The sequence below is a fragment of the Homo sapiens genome, chromosome 10 (assembly GCF_000001405.40).
Source record: "Homo sapiens chromosome 10, GRCh38.p14 Primary Assembly".
Lineage (NCBI taxonomy): Eukaryota > Metazoa > Chordata > Mammalia > Primates > Hominidae > Homo > Homo sapiens.
In genome coordinates this window covers 112,173,889-112,195,249 of record NC_000010.11, presented here as the reverse complement: position 1 = coordinate 112,195,249, position 21,361 = coordinate 112,173,889, and the positions used below count along the sequence as shown (strand labels likewise).

The 21,361-nt window shown below is 38.6% G+C and overlaps 1 protein-coding gene across 5 annotated transcripts in view, besides 1 other annotated feature; it reads left to right on the top strand.

The window, feature by feature from the left end:
• The window catches only part of GPAM (glycerol-3-phosphate acyltransferase, mitochondrial), a 77,813-nt gene that overhangs the window by 32,428 nt on the left and 24,024 nt on the right, over positions 1 to 21,361 (top strand). For 3 of the 5 annotated variants that reach the window (XM_047425564.1, XM_005269998.2, XM_024448089.2), the window contains 5 exons: positions 12,359 to 12,456; positions 13,437 to 13,567; positions 14,655 to 14,777; positions 17,193 to 17,266; positions 19,537 to 19,650. In XM_047425564.1, the coding sequence (XP_047281520.1) occupies positions 13,466 to 13,567; positions 14,655 to 14,777; positions 17,193 to 17,266; positions 19,537 to 19,650 (413 nt within the window). In that variant the 5' untranslated portion in view covers positions 12,359 to 12,456; positions 13,437 to 13,465. Of the gene's footprint in view, positions 1 to 11,484; positions 11,558 to 12,358; positions 12,457 to 13,436; positions 13,568 to 14,654; positions 14,778 to 17,192; positions 17,267 to 19,536; positions 19,651 to 21,361 lie in introns of those variants that run through there. The other 2 variants (NM_020918.6, NM_001244949.2) reach the window with 2 other exon arrangements.
• Positions 11,338 to 11,567: a silencer, noted in NCBI's record as "silent region_2831". NCBI's record gives its function as "represses an Ori minimal core promoter by ATAC-STARR-seq in GM12878 lymphoblastoid cells {active_cell/tissue: GM12878}" and the evidence as "EXISTENCE:reporter gene assay evidence [ECO:0000049][PMID:35858748]".

The following is a 21,361-nucleotide window of genomic DNA, read 5'->3' as shown; positions in this document are numbered from 1 at the left end:
GTTGGGATGGTGACAAGGGAGAGCGATGGGGGTATTTGGCATGGTGCATTTTGGCATGATGCATTTTCAAATGTTTAGGCTGGCTGATGTGTATGGGGGTATTTGGCATGGTGCATTTGGCACGCTGCATTTTCAAATGCTCGGTCTGGCTGATGTGTATGGGATGTCTGGATGGGTAGCCAGTGCAGAAGTAGATGTGGGGCATCCAGGCAGTGAGTCATTATGCCCCCCAGTGAAGATGGTGATATTTTGGATTAGGATAGTGCAGGTGGAGAGGGAGATAAGGGGGTGATGGGTTTAAAGCTATTTAAAAGGTAAAATTGTTTAAGAGTTAATGTTCTATTGGATGCAGGAAAAAGTCAAGAACTTCCAGGTTCTTGGCCTGCTGAGGAGATGGTATGAAGTGAGAATGAAGGAAGGACTTGAGCCAGCAAAACATGCCAAGAGAAAACATCTAGGGGGGTAGAAAGAAATGCAGGAGAGCACAAGGTTGTGAAAGCGGAGAGACTGCCTGGCTCTTTACACCCAGAGCTGGGACTTGCTCAGCAAGCCATCCCTACCCAATAATCTGCCGTCAGGTTATACAACAGTAGAAAGCTTGGAATGAGTCTGGGTTTGTCCATGTTAAAATCTAGTCCACCTTAGGATCTCTTTTCCAGAAGACAAGACGCTTTATTTTCATATCATTCCAGCCAGTATCTCAGCTCCACAAACCATCTTGGACAGTATCTTTTAAGAACCAATGGTGATTTTTAGGGAAATGTTCTTAAGCAATACTTAGGAACAAAAGGTTTTCCTGAAAGACATAGTGTCCGCAGAGATGCAATTTTAAGCACAGCAAAGACAACCTTTTAAAATGTTATATAGTGTAGCCTGTCTTGTTAGAAGCACCTAAGTCTCTTCATTCTACATTACGACCTTTGGTTTATCTCAGTCCAACCAGAAGTGTCATAAATGTGGTTCGATTGTCATTAGAGCTGTTCACAAATGTTTAGTTATCCGGGACACATGGTAGGATTACACTTCTTTACCCAACAAAGCGGATTAAGAGCCAGTGTACAGCTTACTACACTCTCTTTTCCAGCCTTGGCAAACACGAAGGCATGTATCAACATGGAACCTTCCTCAGCCTGGGTCCCTCAGTGACCATTATGAGCAGAGTCCCAGGATAACCTGCTGTTGACATGTAGCATAGGCAAGAAACAAACTCTGTTGTTTCAAGACTAAGACGTTTGTTACTGTATTATAATCTAGCGCATTCTGACTGATATAGTCACTCTCCCTAGAACAAAGTAACTTTAAGGGTTCATATGAGTTTCAAAAATTTAGGACAAATTTTGTGAGGATCCAAGCTCAAAGGAATAGCATTTCCTCTTTTGTCCCAAAAGTATCTGCAAGAAGTATGTTTTTCAAGCATAAGATCTTCGCAGCCTAGCCCTGAGATGAGGACGACCAAAAAACTAGAGCCAGTTCCAAAGCAAATCCTAAAAACAATTATCATAATGTTTTCAGACCTGGGATCTGCTAGCGCAGCTCTAACTACCATGTTCTTGCCTAGGCTAGCTGAATAATATATCCCTTGTATGTTTGGGCTTTAGTATCAGGTAGACGCTGAATTCAAAGTGTGTTTCTGCCACTTTACAGATTCTGACCTCTCCTGGTGCCTCAGTTTCCCCATCTGAAAAATGGGAGTAATAATAGTTTCTAACCCATGGGGCTATTGAGAGGACGGGCCCATCATCTGCCTGTTTGCCCTTGGATCTATTCCCCATCCTTCCCTGCTCTACTCTAGATCTTAGGACAATGCCTCCTTGCAAACTTATTCCTCAGGCTTCCTTGAAGCTTGGGTCAGCCCCAGTTGGCAGAGAGAGGATAAAAGTCATGGTATCTCCCTGTTTCTCACGTGGCACCTCCAGTGGCAGTGGCTCCATGGTTTTGGCTCCTCCTGGTCAGGACCCCCTCCTTGGTCCCAGTTGTAGCCTATGAGGAGATGGCTCTTGGCTCTGTCAACACCTGTCTTTGCCACTCCAGCCTGAGGGAGGGTAGTGATCTCGTGTTGCTGCTGATCTCTGGGCCTCACCCTTCTACTTTTGTCTTCTCTGCTCTTCCAAGACCTTTCTAAGTAGTTTTCTGTATTAAAGTCTCACTAGCAAGCTGTCTGGAAGGGGTTCGTTTTTCTGATGGCGCCATGACTGACACAGGTGATTATTTGAGAAAATGCCTCTAAAGTACTTAGAATAGTGCTTGGCACATAGAAATTGCTCAATAAAGGGTAGCTAACAAAACCTACTTACTTTCTTCCTTACCTAGATTCTCTGCGGCCAATTTAACCCAGGCGGGCAGGCCCCTGCATACAACATAGCTCCTGAATCATTGCCCACTTCTTCTCTTCCTGGTTGACCAAGTCCATAGACATGGGCTTCTATTTTGATTCACCCTTCTCTAATCTTACAAGGTAAAGGGTATTCACATACCTCCATGACATTTATGACACATGTCAGAATTTTATTTTGAATTTTCCAAACTTTTTACTATGGCTTAAAAAGACCTGGTCGGCCTGTGTTCCCAATTCCTTCCTCTGCCATTTTCCCACTTACCCACTCCAGCCACACTGGCCTTGGTTCAGTTCTCACTCTCTGCCAAGTTCTGCCCTCCCTCTGGGCTTTGGCCTGTGCTCTTCCCTCTTCTTGGAGAGGTCTGCTCTGGGCTCCTGTCTTGGCCAGGCCCTGCTCACACCCTGGCCTCAGTGTAGCTGCTCTCCCCTTTTAGGAGTCCTCCCTGACCACCTTATCCAATATCGGCCACCTCTGTTCTTCTCTGGGACAGATGCTGTTTGGATTCTTTATTGCACTTAAAAAAATTTCATTGTGATTTTAAGTTTGTTTATCTTTCTTCCTACTGTCTCCATCCCTACATACCATATGCCATTAGACCATGAATTCCACAAGGGTAGGATCTGTGTGTACCTTCTTCATCCCTGTGTCTTCAGCACTTAGCAGGATGCCTGCTGCAAAAAAGGCTCTCAGTCAGTGTGTTATGAATGAATGGATAAACGAATGAATACTGTATTACTCTGTCTTTAAATAGCTTATGTCAAAGTTCTCTTGAAGGCCAATAGTGATAATTTGGGGCATTCCACCCTCCTACCCCTTACCCTGTTGCTTGTGTTGTGCGGAAGCCAAGCAGAGGCCCTGGGTCGGCTCAGGCTGGTCCCCTTCCTCATTGCACCTTGCCTGGGCTCTGCGTGGTACTCAAAGTTCCATTCCTTTCATGACATACTCCACCACTGGGACCTTCGCTGCGGTTTCTAAGGTGCTGGACTGTCATTCTTCACAGTCCCCCCATCTTCACCCTTTTTTGAAGCCCTGCCACCTCCAAGGTTCTGCATCTGAAGGATCTCAGAGCTGAGCCACCATCAGACCCCTGAGTCCTGTCCCTTCTCAATGCCGAGCCATTCTGGCCTCCACTCTTTTCTTGGACAATCTCTCCTCCCACAATCCAGCTTGAGTCCATGAGAAAACAAAGGCCCATTTAGAATTTGTCTTCTTGGATACCAGCCCCAGTTGAGCAGCTTCTCATTTTTTTGCTTTTGATCACAAAAAGGCAGTTAGTTGCAATTACTTAGCCTACTTCCAGGTCTTAGGAAACCTCAGGATTTAAACCACAGAGCCTGGCTATGCTCCTGGGAGAAAGGAAAAATACCTTTTATTCCCTAAGAACAAGCAAACAGTAGTTAAAAATTAAGAGACATTCAAGCTAATTTCTTAACTACACTGCTCTGCTAGTTATCCCATGCAGGGCCCCAGTTTCCCTCTAGAATTGGTGCCCTGCCCAGTGGCACAGCTAGTGGCTAGAAGCGTGAAATACTACCTAGTTCCCACCGTGCTTTCTTCCTGGGGAGTTGAACCTTGTCATGTACCCTATCTGGTGGGAGATGGCAAGAGAGATCTCCCAGAAGCCTGGCTGCTTACTGCCTGGCTCCAGTGTATTTGATGACCATCTTGAGAGACTGCTGCTCTAACCTGCCTCATCACAAAGACACTTTCCATTCTAGGCTGTCCGAGTTGGACCTGGACTTGGTGCATTCTTTGAACACTATGTCTTGTTATAACTAACTTCAGTGTCCAGGAAAATGTGCTTGTCTTCCCGTCTGATTGGCTCTGCCCTCCTCACTCTCCCTCCTAGAATGAGGTCCCAGCATGCCTTATGCTTGAGCCCAGGAAGTTTACATTATTATAAGCCGTGATGTTTGGCCACAGTTCAGTCTTCTTTAAGACTTGGAAGCAAGTGTGTATGTAAGAAGAAATATCACAAATATTTTAGCTTGGGAGCAATCGCTTGGGACTAAGGAAATAGTTGTCTGTGTCTGTCGTGTGGGCCCACTTTTCTTGGTGTAGCATTTTGGAAGATTCTGCCTTCTCTAAAAGAAGGAAGAATATTCATTATTTGCTTCTCTGAATTATTCAGTTCTGAAGTATGATTTCATAAACCAATATATATGTGATGGGTAATGCAATTAGCAGTCCAAGTGTGGGGTGCCGTTATAGACATTTCCAGCCAGCACTATGCTATTCCAGTCATCCTCTAACATCTCTTATTTAAAGCTGAGTCTATTGATTGTTTCCTGATGAAGCAGGTTTCAGTCAAAATGAAGTCCTTATTATGCCATAAATGTGGTAAAAGTAAGTCAGAGGGGTTTCTTTCTCTTCTGGCCTAAGACCCTTTCTTTCTTTTCTTTTTTTTTTTTTTTAAGATGGAGTCTCACTCTGTTGCCCAGGCTGGGGTGCAGTGGCACAATCTTGGCTCACTCTCTGGCTCCTGGGTTCAAGTGATTCTCTTGCCTCAGCCTCCCGAGCAGCTGGTATTACAGGCACACGCCACCAAGCCCAGCTAATTTTTTGTATTTTTAGTAGAGACGGGGTTCCACCATGTTGACTAGGATGGTCTTGATCTCTAGACCCTGTGAAAGACCCTTTCTTAAAGGCAGAATCTAAGGTCACCTTCACTGCCACCCCTCAGCATGCGATACACTGGTAGGGACTATTTCTGGATATTTTCTCTCTCTTTTATTATTTTTTTAGAATGTTTGAGTCATTCTGGCAATGAGATCCAGGCTCAAATATGATTAGAAATATATTTATTTATTTGCAGCTATTTAATTGTGCATATTTTATTTTATCCAATGAAATCTTGAATTTCTAAAAACAGGGACTAGAGTGTATCCTCCTTACAGAGTATAGGTAGGCAGTAAAAAAGTTTTTGATTAATTGTTTAAATAAACTGGGCTTGGGATGTGTTGCAGTAGGGGTCTAAGCTGCCCATTTCATTAAAATGAACCTACATAGTGACAATCAGGAATGTTACCCGAGAGTAACAGAAGACAACATTGTAATGGCTTACACAGGTAGAGGTTTGGCAAAATCCAGAGGTGTGTGATTCGTGGTGTTGGGTTTGGATATTGAATTACGTAGCAAATGGGAACAAAACGGAAAAGGAAGCGGTGCCAGCTGTGTCCTCTTTTACTAGGAAAGAAAAACTTCAGGAACCCTCAGTTTGCCTTGCTCTCAGTTCACATTGCCCAGAACTGGGTCATGTGACCATCTTGGCTAGAAGGATAGTTGCAGTATTAGGGAACAAGATTATCATAATTGGCTTAGATACCTTGATTCATTCTTTTCTCAGAGCTAGGCAAGAGATCACCCTGAATATAATCAGAGAGTAGAAATACGTCTTGAACAGGTAGGTCTCAGTGAGTGCCCCAGATCAGCTGGAAGTAGGGAAGTGAATTCTGGAAGCCACAAGTCAATGAACTTGATGCTGATTTTTGAAACTTTTTGAAACAATGATTAAACAGGAGTAGTGTAAATATTCTAGACTATAAGCTTGAAGGGAGGAAGTGTGGTGCTGTCTTGTTCAATGCTGTCTCTACAATAGGTTGGGTGGCGTGAAGTAGATATTCTATAAATATATACTGAATAAATAAATAAACAAAAGCAGCCCAAAGAAAAGTAGGTCATAATGAGAAGAGCATGAATCCAGTAAGAATAATTCATGCCAAACTACTTCCTTTAAAAGTTCTTGATAGAACAATCATTATATTTTATATAAGGGAATTTAATAGATACTTTATCATTAGATTTTTGCAAGTCAGTTAACAATGTCCTTACAATATTCTTGTAGAGCAATGCTATTATACATGGGTAGATCTGCAGCTACTTGAACAAATGCACCCAGGGAAGTTTGGTCAACGAATCTGGATCAGTCTGAAAGGGAGCCTCTGAACAGGGACTATTAGGAAGGCAGCATGAATTATTGTCAAGAATATGAGGTTTAGTATGAGAAAGGCCTAGGTTCAAATCCCTTCTGTGCTGCTTTGTGTCTGGTTGATTTGGGCAATTTATTTAATTACTCTGAGCCCATTTTTCTTATCTGTAAATTAAGGATCATAATATCTTGCAGCATCATCATGAGAATGAGCCATGTTAAAATGTAGCAGGTATACTGGTCAATATGTAGGATGGCAGAACAAAGATTTTAAAATACCTCGAACATCTGGAAAATGGCAAAACAAAACAAAATGCAATGTACACAGAGGTACATGTGCATTACTTTCACAAACACAGGGTGTGTGCCATTTTCATAATTGGCTTAGGTATCACAATTCATTATATTTTCAGAGTTGGCCAGGAGATTGTCCTGAACAAAATCATAGAGAGGGAAACAGAGAGGGAATAGCTTCTCTGCTGGTACAATGGGTGGGACCAGCTTTTTATAGGATCTAATCAGACTCACCTTATGAAGACAGGAAATCTAACATCTGGTACACCACCCTGAAAACAAAAGGCAACTAGCTTGGGTAATGAAAGGCTGTATTACTGTGTATACAGAATTTGTAGTGCTGTCACTCTTCTTGTTCCTAATATCAATAATGTGTGTCCTCCTCTTTTTTCCTTATGAATCTGGCTAGAGGTTCATTAACTCTATGGATTTTCTCAAAAAATTAACTTTCAGTTTCAATTGTTTTTTATTTTCCTACTTAAAAATTTTTCTGCTTTCGTTGATATCTGCCCTTTATTATTTTCTGTTTTTGTTTTGCTTATTTTGGGTTTAATTTATACTTTTTTCTTAAGGCTGAATCTGAGATAAATAATTTGAGATCTTTCTTTTTTTCTAGTATAGGTGTTTTAGTGCCATAAATTTCTAAGTACTGTTTTAGCTGCATTCCTCAAAGTATGATATATTGTGTTTTCATTATCATTTAGTTCAAGGTACTTACAAATTTTCATTTTTCTTTTTTACAGCATGATTTTTTAAAAGTATGTGAGTTTCTAAATAGTTAAGGATTTTCCAAATACCTTTAAGTTAGTGGTTTCTAATTTCTACCGTGCTCAGAGTATATGTTTTATGATTTGGATCCTTATATGTGCATCAAGACTTGTTTTATGATCCAGAATATGACCTATCTTGGTGGATGTTCTGTGCACACTTGAATGTTTATTTTCCTGTTATTGGGTGGCATGTTCTATAAATGTCAATTAGATCAAGTTGGGTTGATAGTATTGTACAAGCCTTTTACATCCTTATTAATTTTTTACCCACAGTTCTATTAGTTATTGGGGGAGGGGTATTGAAATGGCTGACTACAATTGTAGATTTTTAAAATTTCTTCTTGCAATTCGATTAGTTTTTGATTTATATGTTTTGAAGTGCTGTATTAGAGGAATAAATATGTAGAATCAGTTTGTCCTCATTATGAATTGACCCTTTTATCATTATAAAATGATCCTCTATATTTCTGATAATATTCTTTGTATTGAAATTATATGATATTAATATACCCACCTATATTTCTTTTGATTAGCATTAGTATAGCATACTGTTTTCTAACCTTTTACTTTTACTTGTCTTAATATTTAAAGTGAGTTTTTAAATAGGTGGCATATCATTGGATCTTCATTTTTTTTCCAGTCTGACAATATCTGCCTTTTAATTAGGGTGATTACTTATATGAGCTTAAATCTATCATCTTGCCATGTATTTTCTCTTTATTCTATCTATTCTTTCTTTTCTCCCCCATCATTTACTGCCTTCTTTTGAATTCATTAAACATCTTAAAAATTCGACTTAAGCTTCTTTGTTGATGTGTTAACAATAACTCTTAGTTTTGCTTTCATAGTAGTTGCTTTAGGAGTTAAAGTATACATTTTTAACTTATTACAGTTTACCTTCAAGTATATTATACTGCTTGGTGCGTAAGATAAGAATCTTACAACAGAATACTTCTCCCTTCCTGGACTTTGTGCTGTTGTCATCATACATTTTATTTGTACATGTTATAAACCCCACAAAATATTGTTTTTGTTTGTGCATTAAGCAATCATGTTTTAAAAGAGTTTTAATGGCTGACATGGTGGCTCACTCTTATAATCCCAGCACTTTGGGAGGTCGAGGCAGGCGCATCACTTGAGGTCAGGAGATCGAGACCGGCCTGGGCAATATGGTGAAACCCCAACTCTACTAAACATACAGAAAAAAATTAGCTGGGCGTTGTGGCGGGTGCCTGTAATCCCAGCTACTCGGGAGGCTGAGGCATGAAAATTGCTTGAACCTGTGAGGAGGAGGTTTCAGTGAGCTGAGATCACGCCACTGCACCACTGCACTCCAGCCTGGGTGACAGAGCGAGATTCCATCTCAAAAATAAAATAAAATAAATTAAAATAAAAGGGTTTAAAAAATAAGAAAAATTATTTACCTACGTATTTGTGGTTTCTTAAGCTCTTAATTCCTTTGCATAGATTCAGAATTCCATCTGACAGCATTTTTTTTTTGCCTGAAAGACTTTCTTTAACATTGCTTATAGAACGGTCCTGCTGGTGATGAATTCTTTTGGCAATTCGATGTCAAAATATGTTTTTATTTTATTTTTTTGATATATATAAAAATATATAAAATGTACATACCATATATTAATATAAAAAGAACTCTTGATTGATAGGTTCTTCATTCAGTACTTCAGATGCTGCTCCACCATCTTCTGGTTTGCATTTTTCTGATGTGAAATCTGCTGTCATTCTTATCTTTGTTCCTCTGTACAGTAATGTCTTTTTTTTTCTCTCTGATAGCTTTTAAGATTTTCTCTTTATCAGTGGCTTTAGGCATTTTGATTGTGATGTTTCTTGGTATGGTTTTCTTCATGTTTCTACTGAGTTTGTTGAGCTTTTTGGGTTTATAAGTTTATAGTTTTGGTCAAATTTGGAAAGTTTTCATCAATTATTCTTTCAAATGCTTTTTTCTGTCCTCCCTAATCTATTCTCACCTCATATTTCTCATTTTCTTCAGGGACTACAATTGCATGTATACTAGGCTCACTGATACTCTACTTTTACTTTCAGTATTTTTCTTCCCTTAGTGTTTCATTTTGGATAGTTTCTATCACAATGCTTTCAAGTTTTTTTTTGTTTGTTTGTTTTTGTTTTTGAGACAGAGTCTCGCTCTGTCACCCAAGCTGGAGTGCAGTGGCACAATCTTGGCTCACTGCAAGCTCTGCCTCCTGGGTTCACGCCATTCTCCTGCCTCAGCCTCCCGTCAGGTTTTTTACTGTTTCTTTTTTAGTAATGTCTAACCTATTAATCCTGTGTGTGTGTGTGTGTGTGTGTGTGTGTGTGTGTGTGTGTGTGTCTGTGTGTGTGTGTTAGGGTGTTAAAAATCTTAGATGTGGTTTTATTATCTCCTAGATGTTTGGTTTGTGTCTTTTTTTTTTTTAAAGATTTTTCACATCTCTACTTCCCATGCTCAGTTTATTTTTTCTACTTGTTGAAAACATTGAATACAGTCATAATTACTTTCTTAATGTCCTTGTTCTCTTATTTTATCATCTCTGTCATTTCTGGGATGATTTCAATTGGTTGATTTTTTTTTCTCATTTCCTGCTTCTTTTCGCATGCCTGATAATTCTGTTTGGATTCCAGATGTTGCAAATTTTACCTTGTTAGGTGTTGGTTATTTTTAATTTCCTGTAAATATTCTTGTGCTTTGCTCTGGGACACTTTGTTCTCAAAAACGGTTTAATCCTTTGGTGGCTGGCTTTTAAGATTTCTAAGATAGAATCAGAGTAGCTTTTACATTAGAGCTAATTTTGCCCCACTACTGAAGCAAAACCATTTGAGTTGTGAATTATGAGGTTTTCCAGTCGGGGTGCCAGGATCAGGCACTATTTCTGGTCCTGTATAATCACTGGGTATCTTTCTACTCTGCCTTGTGGGAGCAGAATTAATTTCCTACCCTGTGCAAACTTTAGTAATTGCTCTCTCTTTTCTTCATACATGATTATTTCCTGCCCTTAGGTAGCTTCCTCACACACATGCTCTAATCAGCGGAAGACTGGAGTGAGATCTGTTGTAGATCTCCACAGCTCCTTCTTTCTCTGTGTAGCTTTCTCCTTTCTGATATACAACTCACAGTTCCAGCTGCTTTGGCCTCCCTGCTCTCCCAGTTCTATCTCTTCAACTCAGGGAGTCTGCCTAGCTCTTTTTGGCTGCTCCCTCTAGTTAGTAAATCAAGGCAATCATAGGGCTCACCTCATTTGTTTTCCCTCCTCAAGGACCACTGTCCAGCACAACGTTTAAAAGCCATTGTCTTATAAATGCCTGTTTGTTTTTGTTTTTAGTTGTTTTAGGCAGGAGAGTAAATTCAGTCCTGTTGCTCCATCTTAGCTGGCTAGACTGGATTGCTATAAATTTTAAACTATCTAAATAGTTGCATATATTTAGGGGGTACAAATCGATGTTATGACTTATGAATACAATGTGGAATAACTGAATCAAGCTAATTGACATATCCACCTCAAATACTTCTCAGTTTTCATGGTGAGAACTTTTGAAATGTACTCTTAGCGATTTTGAACTGTATAATACATTATTATTTACTATATTCACCATGCTGTGTAACATATAGTCCGAAGGGGGAAAAAAGCCCTTATTTCTCCTAACTGAGGCTTTTTATACTACAAGCCTTATTTGCTTCTTTTCATATCTCATTTTCCTCCTTAAAGGAAAAGGCACTCAGCCACTTTGGTAGAAATTACACAACATGGCCATTTGCAATCCCTGCCTCTCCCATTCGTAGTAAATCCTACATAGTCTTACAGATCTCATAAAAAGTCAGACCACACACATAACCTGATAGCCCACGCGCACATTCCCAACAGAGCCTGGAAGAGGGACAAGCTCCCGGATAAGCTGAATTTACACAAAGCAGAATGAGGTACCCACACACACTCACACACGCATGGCCTAGGCAGGGTAACCATCTGTCCAGGCGCTCACACACTATCTTTAGCCACACACAGGCACGCACACTCGAGTACACACATTACACCCTCGGATCCGCTCACGCTCCCTGAGGCTCGCAGGCCGGGCCCCGCCCCCGGCGCTGGCTAGCCGGCGGCCCCGCGTCAATGCCACGCGCCGGTTGCGTCATCAGGGTGCGCCACTGCAGCTGGCATTGGCCGGGACTGGAAGTGCGGGCTTCTGCAGCAGCCGAAGCTGGAGCTGCTAGGGTGCGAACTGCCAGGGCAGGTGTGGGCTGCGGGAGGCTACTCGGGCCGGGAGCGCCGGGACAAGTGCATGGAGGTGGTGCGACTCCTGCAAGTTGCTGGGGCAGTCGTGTCCCCTATTCCCTGACACCCGAGCTCCGGTCTTCTCCCTGAGAAATCGGTCGGGCTCGTGCAGGGGTGGGGATCAGGATTCATCTCTCCTGGGGAGACTGCGCTGGGGCATGGGTTCCCCTGGGTTGGAAGGAGTCCTTATGGACTCAGTCCCCTAAGTATCTGCACGCGCGGAGGCGCCGCCAGCCAGCCCGCCTGGGTCCCTAGGGAACATTGAGGCAGTAAGGGGTACTCTGAGAGCAGCCGGTATGCTGGAGATAATTAATGACAGCGTTACCATTGATTGGACTGAGCGCTCACTGTGTGTTACACACTGTGGTAGACCCTTTGTTTATATTATTCCGTCCTCTCAACAATCCAGGAGGTTAAGAGCTATCATTCTGCCCATTTTCCAGATGGGAAAACTAAGGCATAGAAGTTAACCAACTTATGGTAATAAAAAATCACACAGATGGTAAGCAGTGGAAGATTTAAACCTCACAGCTGGTCTTCCAGCCTCTGTCCTTTTCAGATCCTCTAGTCAGCTTCTCTCAGCGCATGCTGCTGGCTGGTGCCTCTGGGATATTGCTTCTTTATTACTCCTTGACCTAGAGCGAACTGTGCGGAGGGAGGAAGTGCAAAACGTGGACCTCCTGTTGGCACAAACGAGCCTCTTTGTCCTCTCCTCATCCTCTCTTCACTTCATTTTCTCAGGCAGCAGCGGCTCCCCTGTTGTATGGACATTCTGCACCCGAAACTGATAGCTGAGTCCTGAAGTTTTATGTTATGAAACAGAAGAACTTTCATCCCAGGTGCATTGGTTTATTCTCTCCCCTAGCCTGTTATGTTAGATTGTACTTATGTTAAATTTTTAAGGACATAGGTGGTTATGCCGAGAATAACAGTGACTGTAGCCAACCCATGTGGGGATTGTAAAGAAATTGGAATATGCCTTCCAAAGGAACACTGTTAATCTAGACATGACCTTTCAGGATTTTAAAGGAATAATTTTAGGCCAGGTGAGAAACAGCCAAAAGCAAAAATAATGTGAGGCTAGAGATTATGTTTGAAAGTTTTTATATTTTGGATTAATATCTATTCTAGGAGTTTACTCTTAGTGAATCTTTTTCCTTAGGGTAGAAAAAAGCTTATCGAAAAGGATGAAAACTTATACATCAGATATTTCAAAATAGTGTGCTTTTCTTTCAGAGCTTTGTAGCTTTGTATTACCTTTGTATTAAAAGTGAAAATGTTCTTTTAGGACATCACAAGAAAATTAAGATCTTAATTTAAGTACGGGAACTTAAGGGGTGCCCTAATTGCCTTAATTAAATAAACATGCCTTCCTTCTGCCAGGAACTATTCAATTAACAAAAATGAAATAAGAATAAGCTCTTATTTTCATTTGCAAATGACTATTCATAGCTATTTTGTTTGGATACAATTCATAGCTATTTTGTTTGGATACTATTTTGTTTGCATACTATGTTTTGTTTGGATACTATTCATAGCTATTTTGTGTGGATACAAAGGATACAATGTTGTATCCTTATATATTCAGGAAGTCTTAGAATACAAATGCTGATTTTTTTTTTTTCTAGTCAGGGAAGCCTAACTGTGTTCATATAAACACATCAAAGTCAGTTTTTACCTTGTGACTCAACATGGTAGAAGTCTGTCAGTTCATGTGATATCCCATTGTGGAGCAAAGTAATGTAGAAATCAGAATTTTGAGTTCTAGTATTTACTCTCTCGATTCCTTGTTAATTTAAATGGTACCTATTTTTTATAGCACATGATTTGGGAATTACACTTTGTGACATGGATGAATCTGCACTGACCCTTGGTACAATAGATGTTTCTTATCTGCCACATTCATCAGAATACAGTGTTGGTCGATGTAAGCACACAAGTGAGGAATGGGTAAGTTTAGGATAAGAGTTAAAAGCACTCAGCCTAAAAATGTTCATTTCAATGATGTTTATGAAGGTGCAAATACTGGCAGCAACATAATATCACATCAAGATTAATAGCTACAGAAACTGGTATGTTTATGAAGCCTAATAAAAAATTTTATGGCATTATATTGGGAAGAAAAAATGGTTAGAAAATTTATGTACACTGATTATGTTAGAAAACAAAATAATCATTTTGCATAGGAAAAAAACCCTAGTAGTAGTTTTGGGTCGGTAAGAAATTTTTTTTTCTTTCTTTCTCTTGGTATGTACTTTCCATGAGTTATACTTGAAAAGCATGAATTTTATAATAGAAGTAAACTTTAAAAAATTAGGAACTTATAGTATGAATTCAATCCAAAAGGCGTACATTTTCTTGGATTGTTTTTCCTATTTCAATATAACATGACGTATTTTAAATATCTTAATTGTCTTTATATAAAAAATGGTGGGGTTTTTTTTTTTGCTTAATTTTGAGAATGTTATATCTGTATAACAGAGATGTGAGCAACTGAGCTCAAAGTTAAGCATTTTTAGAATAGAAGAGCAAGGTTTGACCCTAATTGAATAGTATAGCTATAATTTAAGTTCTGGTCTTTAAGTTCCCTTGATAAGATAAAGGAATGTTATATAAGTTTACCTGTTTTTTATTTAAAGTAAAATTATAAAAACTTGCTCACTATGTAAGGCCTTTATAGTTCTGTAGTGCGACTGTGTGATTTAAAAGGGGGTAAGGTTAATTGTTAGACTAGAGATCCAGGAGTCTGAATTGATTTATCTAGCTGTCAGAAGTCTGTTTGACCTTCTACAATTTAGTTTTTAAATTTTTGAATACTGCCTTCAGTGTGTAGCTATTACTATCCTTGGGTGCTCAGCTTTTGCTTATGTGGTAAGCTTTTATCCAAGTGTTGATCATGGAGGGAGTACTTAAATGAAAATCACCCAGAATATGCCATAAGTTTTTCTTCTGTTCAAAATACTTTAGATTTTGAGATCAAGTAGACAAGTATTCTCTTGCCATTTAGAAACTATATTTTTTTCTTAATATTTGTCAGGGTGAGTGTGGCTTTAGACCCACCATCTTCAGATCTGCAACTTTAAAATGGAAAGAAAGCCTAATGAGTCGGAAAAGGCCATTTGTTGGAAGATGTTGTTACTCCTGCACTCCCCAGAGCTGGGTAAGAACCTTACTGCTTATTGACCCTAATACTCAGCATAAAATATTATTTCCAACTTTGTAGTAGGCAGTCTTATTGGACTAAATTCACTTTCAGAACAGAGACCCATGTTTATGAACCAAATATTTCAAGTAAAGATGTTGACACACTTTTTCTTTCCATTTATTTATTCAGTAAATATTGGTCCCATAATTGATACTAGGTAACATTCTAGTTCTTTTGAGGTTTTAGTAGGATTTTAAGGGGGAGAGTAGATCTTACTTTTGGTTAAGTCTTCAAAGGAGTTAGTGGGAACCTTCATGAACTTTTAGGTGTTGAACTTTAGCACTTAACATTAAAATTCTAGCAAGATAAGAAAGAGATAATGGGACAGAATAAGAAGTTAAAGCTGTGACTTTGCTCTGAGCCTTTGCTAATGGAAGGTGTCTGTTGACTTTGTGATAGTGAAAGATTGTCACTAAAATGTTAGAATGAAGATTTAAGAGAGTGTATATGGGTTTGTTGTTTGTATTTTGGTGAAAAAACACAAGCCATGCAATATCTTTTGCATTACAGTGCAGTCTTTGAGAAGAGCCAAGTGGGTGAGAGGTATATTTTCGGTGGTAGTTGAAGAGAAGGACAAATTAGCACAGGAACAAGAACTTCACGTAGTTGTGTTTGAAGGCAGTAGAATTGCCTTTTAAAAGTCATATCTGGATGTTAAGCTCTCTCTGGGATCCAGTTATTAGGATGAAGAAATTCTGCCGTTTAAGTGCCTGCCATTTATAGAGGTTGCTTGTAACTTGTGTGGCTAGGTAATTGTGCTGTGTGAATTTTCTACTCAAGGTTGGTTTGGCAGAAAGTAGAATTCTGAGTCTGGTATAAAGGGGTTTACTAACATGGGAGAGATTTGTGTGGAACCCAAGCAGTTTATGTTAAATGTTCAGATCTGCTGAAGAATGTCTTGTTATAAATATTGCTTCTTTTAAACCACAACTACCTTGTTGCAAGAATTTGGTAGAATTCAAGAATCACAGAAATTTCTAGCCTAGGAGTAAAGCTAGTTCAGATTAATAGGTCACTTGAAATCAAGATTTAAACAGAATGTCATTTTCTTTTTAGATCTGACATCTAGTCTAATTCTAATTTTGAATACTTAAAACAATAACTACAATGTGTTCTTAAGTCAGAGGGTATAGGAAATAATTTGGTGGTGGTAATGGTTTGGAGTAAAGGGTAAAGGTAGATAGTACAACAGACAATTGATTTTTGCCCTACTATAGTACCTGATGGAGTTGAACTTGATCTTGAATTACTTCCATGACATGATCATTTAAAATAATTTGTTTAAAAATGTTTTTATTGGTAACTGTATAATATTTGCTATCTTTTCTCTGAAATCGTATTTTCCTTTTCTCTAAAGAGATTCCACTTAAGTAGTTTTATATTTGTTGAGGGAACATTGTGCTTTTTCAGCATTTAAGTGTGGAACAGTTACCTTTTTGCCCATATTGATAAAGCTATAGACTATCTTTTCAGCAAAGCTATCTCTGGATTATCTTTCAAGATCACATGTAAAGAGGGTGACCAGTAGACAGACGATTTCTCATTAAATGGACAGTTATTTAGGGGTAATAGAAAGACCATACTCTTTAGATCAAGACATAAGATTGAATCCTAAACCTCTCCCGGTCTTAGTTTCTCACCTAGAAAATGGTGATAACTCTTTTGTGTCAGGGATTTTGGGAGATTTAGTAAGCAACAATAACTGCATGGTACTTAGCGTGGTCTTTGTATTTTGGGAAAACTGAAATCTCTGACATTCTTGTAGCTTCACTTCTTTCAGGGTGGAGATGAGGAGTCAAGCAGCAAGGGGTACTGTTTCCTTTGGTTTTAAGGTGGTTTGTTTGTTTGTTTGTTTTTTGTTTTTGTTTTTGTTTTTTTGAGATGGAGTCTTGCTTTGTCGCCCAGGCTGGAGTACAATGGCATCGTGTTGGCTCACTGCAACCTCCGTCTCTTAGGTTCAAGCAATTCTCCTGCCTCAGCCTCCCAAGTAGCTGGGATTACAGGCACCGACCACCACACCCAGCTAATTTTTATATTTTTGGTAGAGACGGAGTTTCACCATGTTGGCCAGGCTGGTCTCAAACTAATGACCTCAGGTGATCTGCCCGCTTCGGCCTCCCAAAGTGCTGAGATTACGGGTGTGAGCCACTGCGCCTGGCTAGTTTTAAGATTTTAAAGATGAATTTTGAGTTTATGACATTCTTTGAAGGCTAAAAAGTACTTTTCAATAAAACTTTTTTCTTCCCTAAGATTTTTGAGGCAATATCTGTTTTTATGCTTGATATTAAAGTTATCAAGAACTCATAATGAGAGCTCTTCACCGTCAATCTAGTTGTGTATTTATGTCTACATTTACTTTGTTTTATATAGGACAAATTTTTCAACCCCAGTATCCCGTCTTTGGGTTTGCGGAATGTTATTTATATCAATGAAACTCACACAAGGTAAAAAGAAATTTCTTATGTTTTTAATACATCTCAAAAGAAAAACTTCATAATAATCAGTTAACACACTTTAAGCTGAATTGCTTTGCATTACTGAGAGTGAATAGAATATGAGTTTCTGACACAAGAGAGATTATCTGAAAATTGGAAGCAGTATAGCCACAGAGAGAACTATTACTGTTACCACTTGTGTACTTACAGATAATTTCAGGGGAGTGTAGATGTCACTTAGAATGTTCTTTGACTTATATTGATTTGCATATGAAGTATGCCAAAATGTGGGAAATATTTGTCTGAGAAGACCGGTAGGTTTGAATCTCTTATGATTTATTATGACTATTTAATACTTAAAAAAAGTATAAATTATTGAAATCTGCCCAATCTGTAGGGTGTTAAAAGACATTTTCTCTGTTGAGCAAATGTTGTTTGAGTTACTATTTACCCAAGACTTTACTTAGAGTTCTTACAATTTCTAGGCATATGGGGATAGGCTTGTAAGCACCAGTGTGAGAGAAAAAGGTCTTTGTTTTATCTGACTCTAGGCCAGGGGACAGGGAAGGAGGGTCGAAAGGTTGTGTGAATGTCTGTGAGGCAAGAGAATCAGTAGCCAAATGCTAGCAGTCCTTGTAATTCTAAAAATAGATACCTGGAGTAGGCAGGCAGATAGGCTCAGATGAGAAATACTTGAAATTCTATGAAAATTAGTGCAAGAAATCAACTACTTGAAGCCCTTATGATATTACTTCTCATAATTTGATGATGAGATCACATATGAGAATGATAATACTTGGATATATAGTAAACTTTTAAAAATAGAACTTAAGTCTAAGTACATGAGCAGATCATTCCCAGGCTGCTGGTCTCTCTCTCTCTCTCTTTTAAATTTGCATTTAAATTTAAATTTAAAAAAGAGGGGAGAGACTTTGGTCCGTTGAATTTTTTTTGATAAGATGATAAGATCCTAAGAAAAGGGATCTCAGAGTCTTCCTTATGTAAGTAGATATTTTATATATAAAGCCAAGAGGTTTGTTTCTTGCCCTCAATTAGAGACAGTTAAGGAAAATCGCATTTGCTATGATGACGAGGCAGAATGAAACTATTCAGTGAAATAAGCTGCATGTTCAGCTATTTACTTCTTCTGTGTATTCTATGAAGCAAAGCCTAAAACATTTTTACACATTCACATAGAGTCACACACTCTGTCACTGTCACACTCATGCACATGTGCGCACACACACACAATGCTTTCAGTCAGTTGCAAAGGGATTTCATAGAGAGCTTGGACTTTGTACATACCAATAATATTTCTGAAAATGTTGACTGAAGGAGGAGTTTAGGATTAACATTTAATATATTGGGCCAAATTTTTGGAAGATTTAGACAAAGGAAGGGAGGAAGAAAAAGAGAATGGCAGGAAGGAGAGGTGAAGAAATAGGTGATTCATAAACAGTTCTCTTTCAAGTTACTTTTTCTCTATTGAGGGTATTCTGGGTCTTTTCAGAGTTACTGAATTGATAATAATAATGTGATATCATGTAATCATTACAAATGTTTTCAAAGTATTACATAATGAAAGCTTGTAGCATTCTTATTCTGAAACTCATCTCTCCATCCTCCCATCTAAACACCACATAGTCATTTATAACTGACAGGAATATGTTCTATCCCTCAGGTGTATTTAAAATGTGAAGGGGGAAAAAGTGAGAAATTCTGGCTTCGTTAGCCTAGAGTACAAATATTTAGATCATGCTTGACTTCTTTCAACTGATCTGCCTTGTCAATTCAATTAGAGAATCAGTGATTATCTTAGGAAAAAACAAACAAAAACTTAACAAAAAAAATTAGTCTTTGATCATAGGAAAAGACTTCCAAATTTATCTTTTTATAGCCCATAGCTATAAATATAAGCTGTATGGTTTATCAGAATAGATATAGCTTATATATAGCATTAAACATTTTTGCCTTTTTAATGGTATTAATAAAGCCAGATGTTCTTATTTCTTTTGTTTTCATATTAGGGTTATTCGGCACAGTAACACTATTCAAACATTAATACACAAATTCCAAGTTTCAGTTTTAGCTGAGAGTACATGAATAAAATTGGCTGCACAACATTCTGAACTACTAAGGAGAATTTGCTGTAGGAGAACCCTAAATCTCAGAAAGAGATGACATTAGGCTTTGTTTTTATGGGCGGAAAATTAGTTTATGATTTAAGCAACTTGTTTTAGGGGTACCTCTAATACTTCTCTGCTAAATCATTTTCACAGACACCGCGGATGGCTTGCAAGACGCCTTTCTTACGTTCTTTTTATTCAAGAGCGAGATGTGCATAAGGGCATGTTTGCCACCAATGTGACTGAAAATGTGCTGAACAGCAGTAGGTAAGGGCGGGGCAAGGTGTAAAGGTGGGAAGAGGCAGGGATGGGCGGTAGGAGTGGGAGGGGGAAGTAATTCTTAGTAACCTTTAGTTTCTCTGGGACTGTGTCTCAAGAAGTGTTCACATTTCCAAACATTAAATGTTAAGCTCCAAAGGAAACTAAAGAAAGGCAGGAGAACAGGTGCTTTGGTGACAGTGCCATGTGGGAATAGCAGCCTTGTTTTATGGATTAATAATTGAATGGGTTTCTAAAACATGAAAGGCAAATAAGAGTTCAGAGATGCACATATTTCCAGAGTTCTCTGCTTTCTGTAATATAAATGTTGGAGACATTGTATTTCCTATTTTATAGCCGAAAGAGAATTGAGTTTGATATTTTTGCCAGTTACTGAGTATCTAGGTACAAATTCTTGTACTGGAAAGTCATTGCTAGAAATCTTAACAGAATGAATTACTGCCTTTGCTCTTACAGGAGCTTGCTTACAATAGGAAAGACTGATTGGAACTCAGGTGGAATGGGGAAATAAATATTCTAGAATATGGGAGTTTGGGTGAAGATGTTCCAAACTCCCGTACTCTAGAATATTGATTCTAGAGTACTGGCCTCATTGGTGTGGCCAGTTTCAGAGATCTACCTGGATTTGGGGAGCAGGAGACCAGGGTGAATTAAAAGGCTGCTTTAAATTCATAAGTGTCATCTGTAGACTCTTCGTTATGTTTGTTAAGGCCTGAACAATGCTGGCACATAATATGTACTCAAGAAATACTTCTCGAATGGATGAGTGAGTAGTTGATAATGGAGGTGCATCAGTCATGGTAATGACGTGTAGAAACATTCCTGGTCAGAATGCAATGAATGCTTTTTAGGGAATAGACTTGGGGGGCATCAGTGTCCTGTGGTATTGGTCTTTTTGTATTAGTGAATTATGGGGCTATGTGGAATTTTGCTGTACTTCACTAGTCCAAAATCAGCACCACTGGGATAAAACACAATTATGTGAAATTCTTAGATTATTATATATTCTGTTTTCTTGTTAAAACCTTCAAGTACATTTATTTCATCCAGATGTTTTGACTAGTAACTGGGATGTTAGAAGTGGTTTAAGGAGGTTGAACCTCATGCTTTCTCCCCTAAGTCAGCTGGAAGATTTATAAAACTGGATTAAATGTTTCCTTTTATCTCACTGCTTATTATTCTGTGCTGTGCTCTTTTGATCTTGAGCTGTGCCTTTTAAAAATTACTGGTTTGAGTTGAAAAAATTTGTAAATATTTATGACCATTTTTGGTCCCTCCCAGAGTTTTACATATAGTTTTACTAATGGAGTCACAATACAAATTAAAAGTAAATTAAGTCTTCAAAAGAAAAATCACACATTAATTTGGTAGTAGACTTTTGGATACCTCTGAATTATATGCCTAAAGGGATAACCTTTCTTTTTCTCTCTTCTGCTAGAGTACAATTTCGTGTCCCTCATACTTTAATGGGAACATTCAAATTCACCCAGTAAATTTGAATTAAATTCTTAGTCTGCTTTCCAGATTCCTCAGAGATTCATTGATTTAGGAATATAGTATTCTTAATATTTAATAGATAGCCAGAAAGAGCACTTCTAGCTTGAGCTTATTCTTTCATGTTACCGCATTTTAAAGAGAACATACATTTTGTTTTGTGATTTACAGCTGCAGTTTAGAAAATACTGAATACAGAATGTAG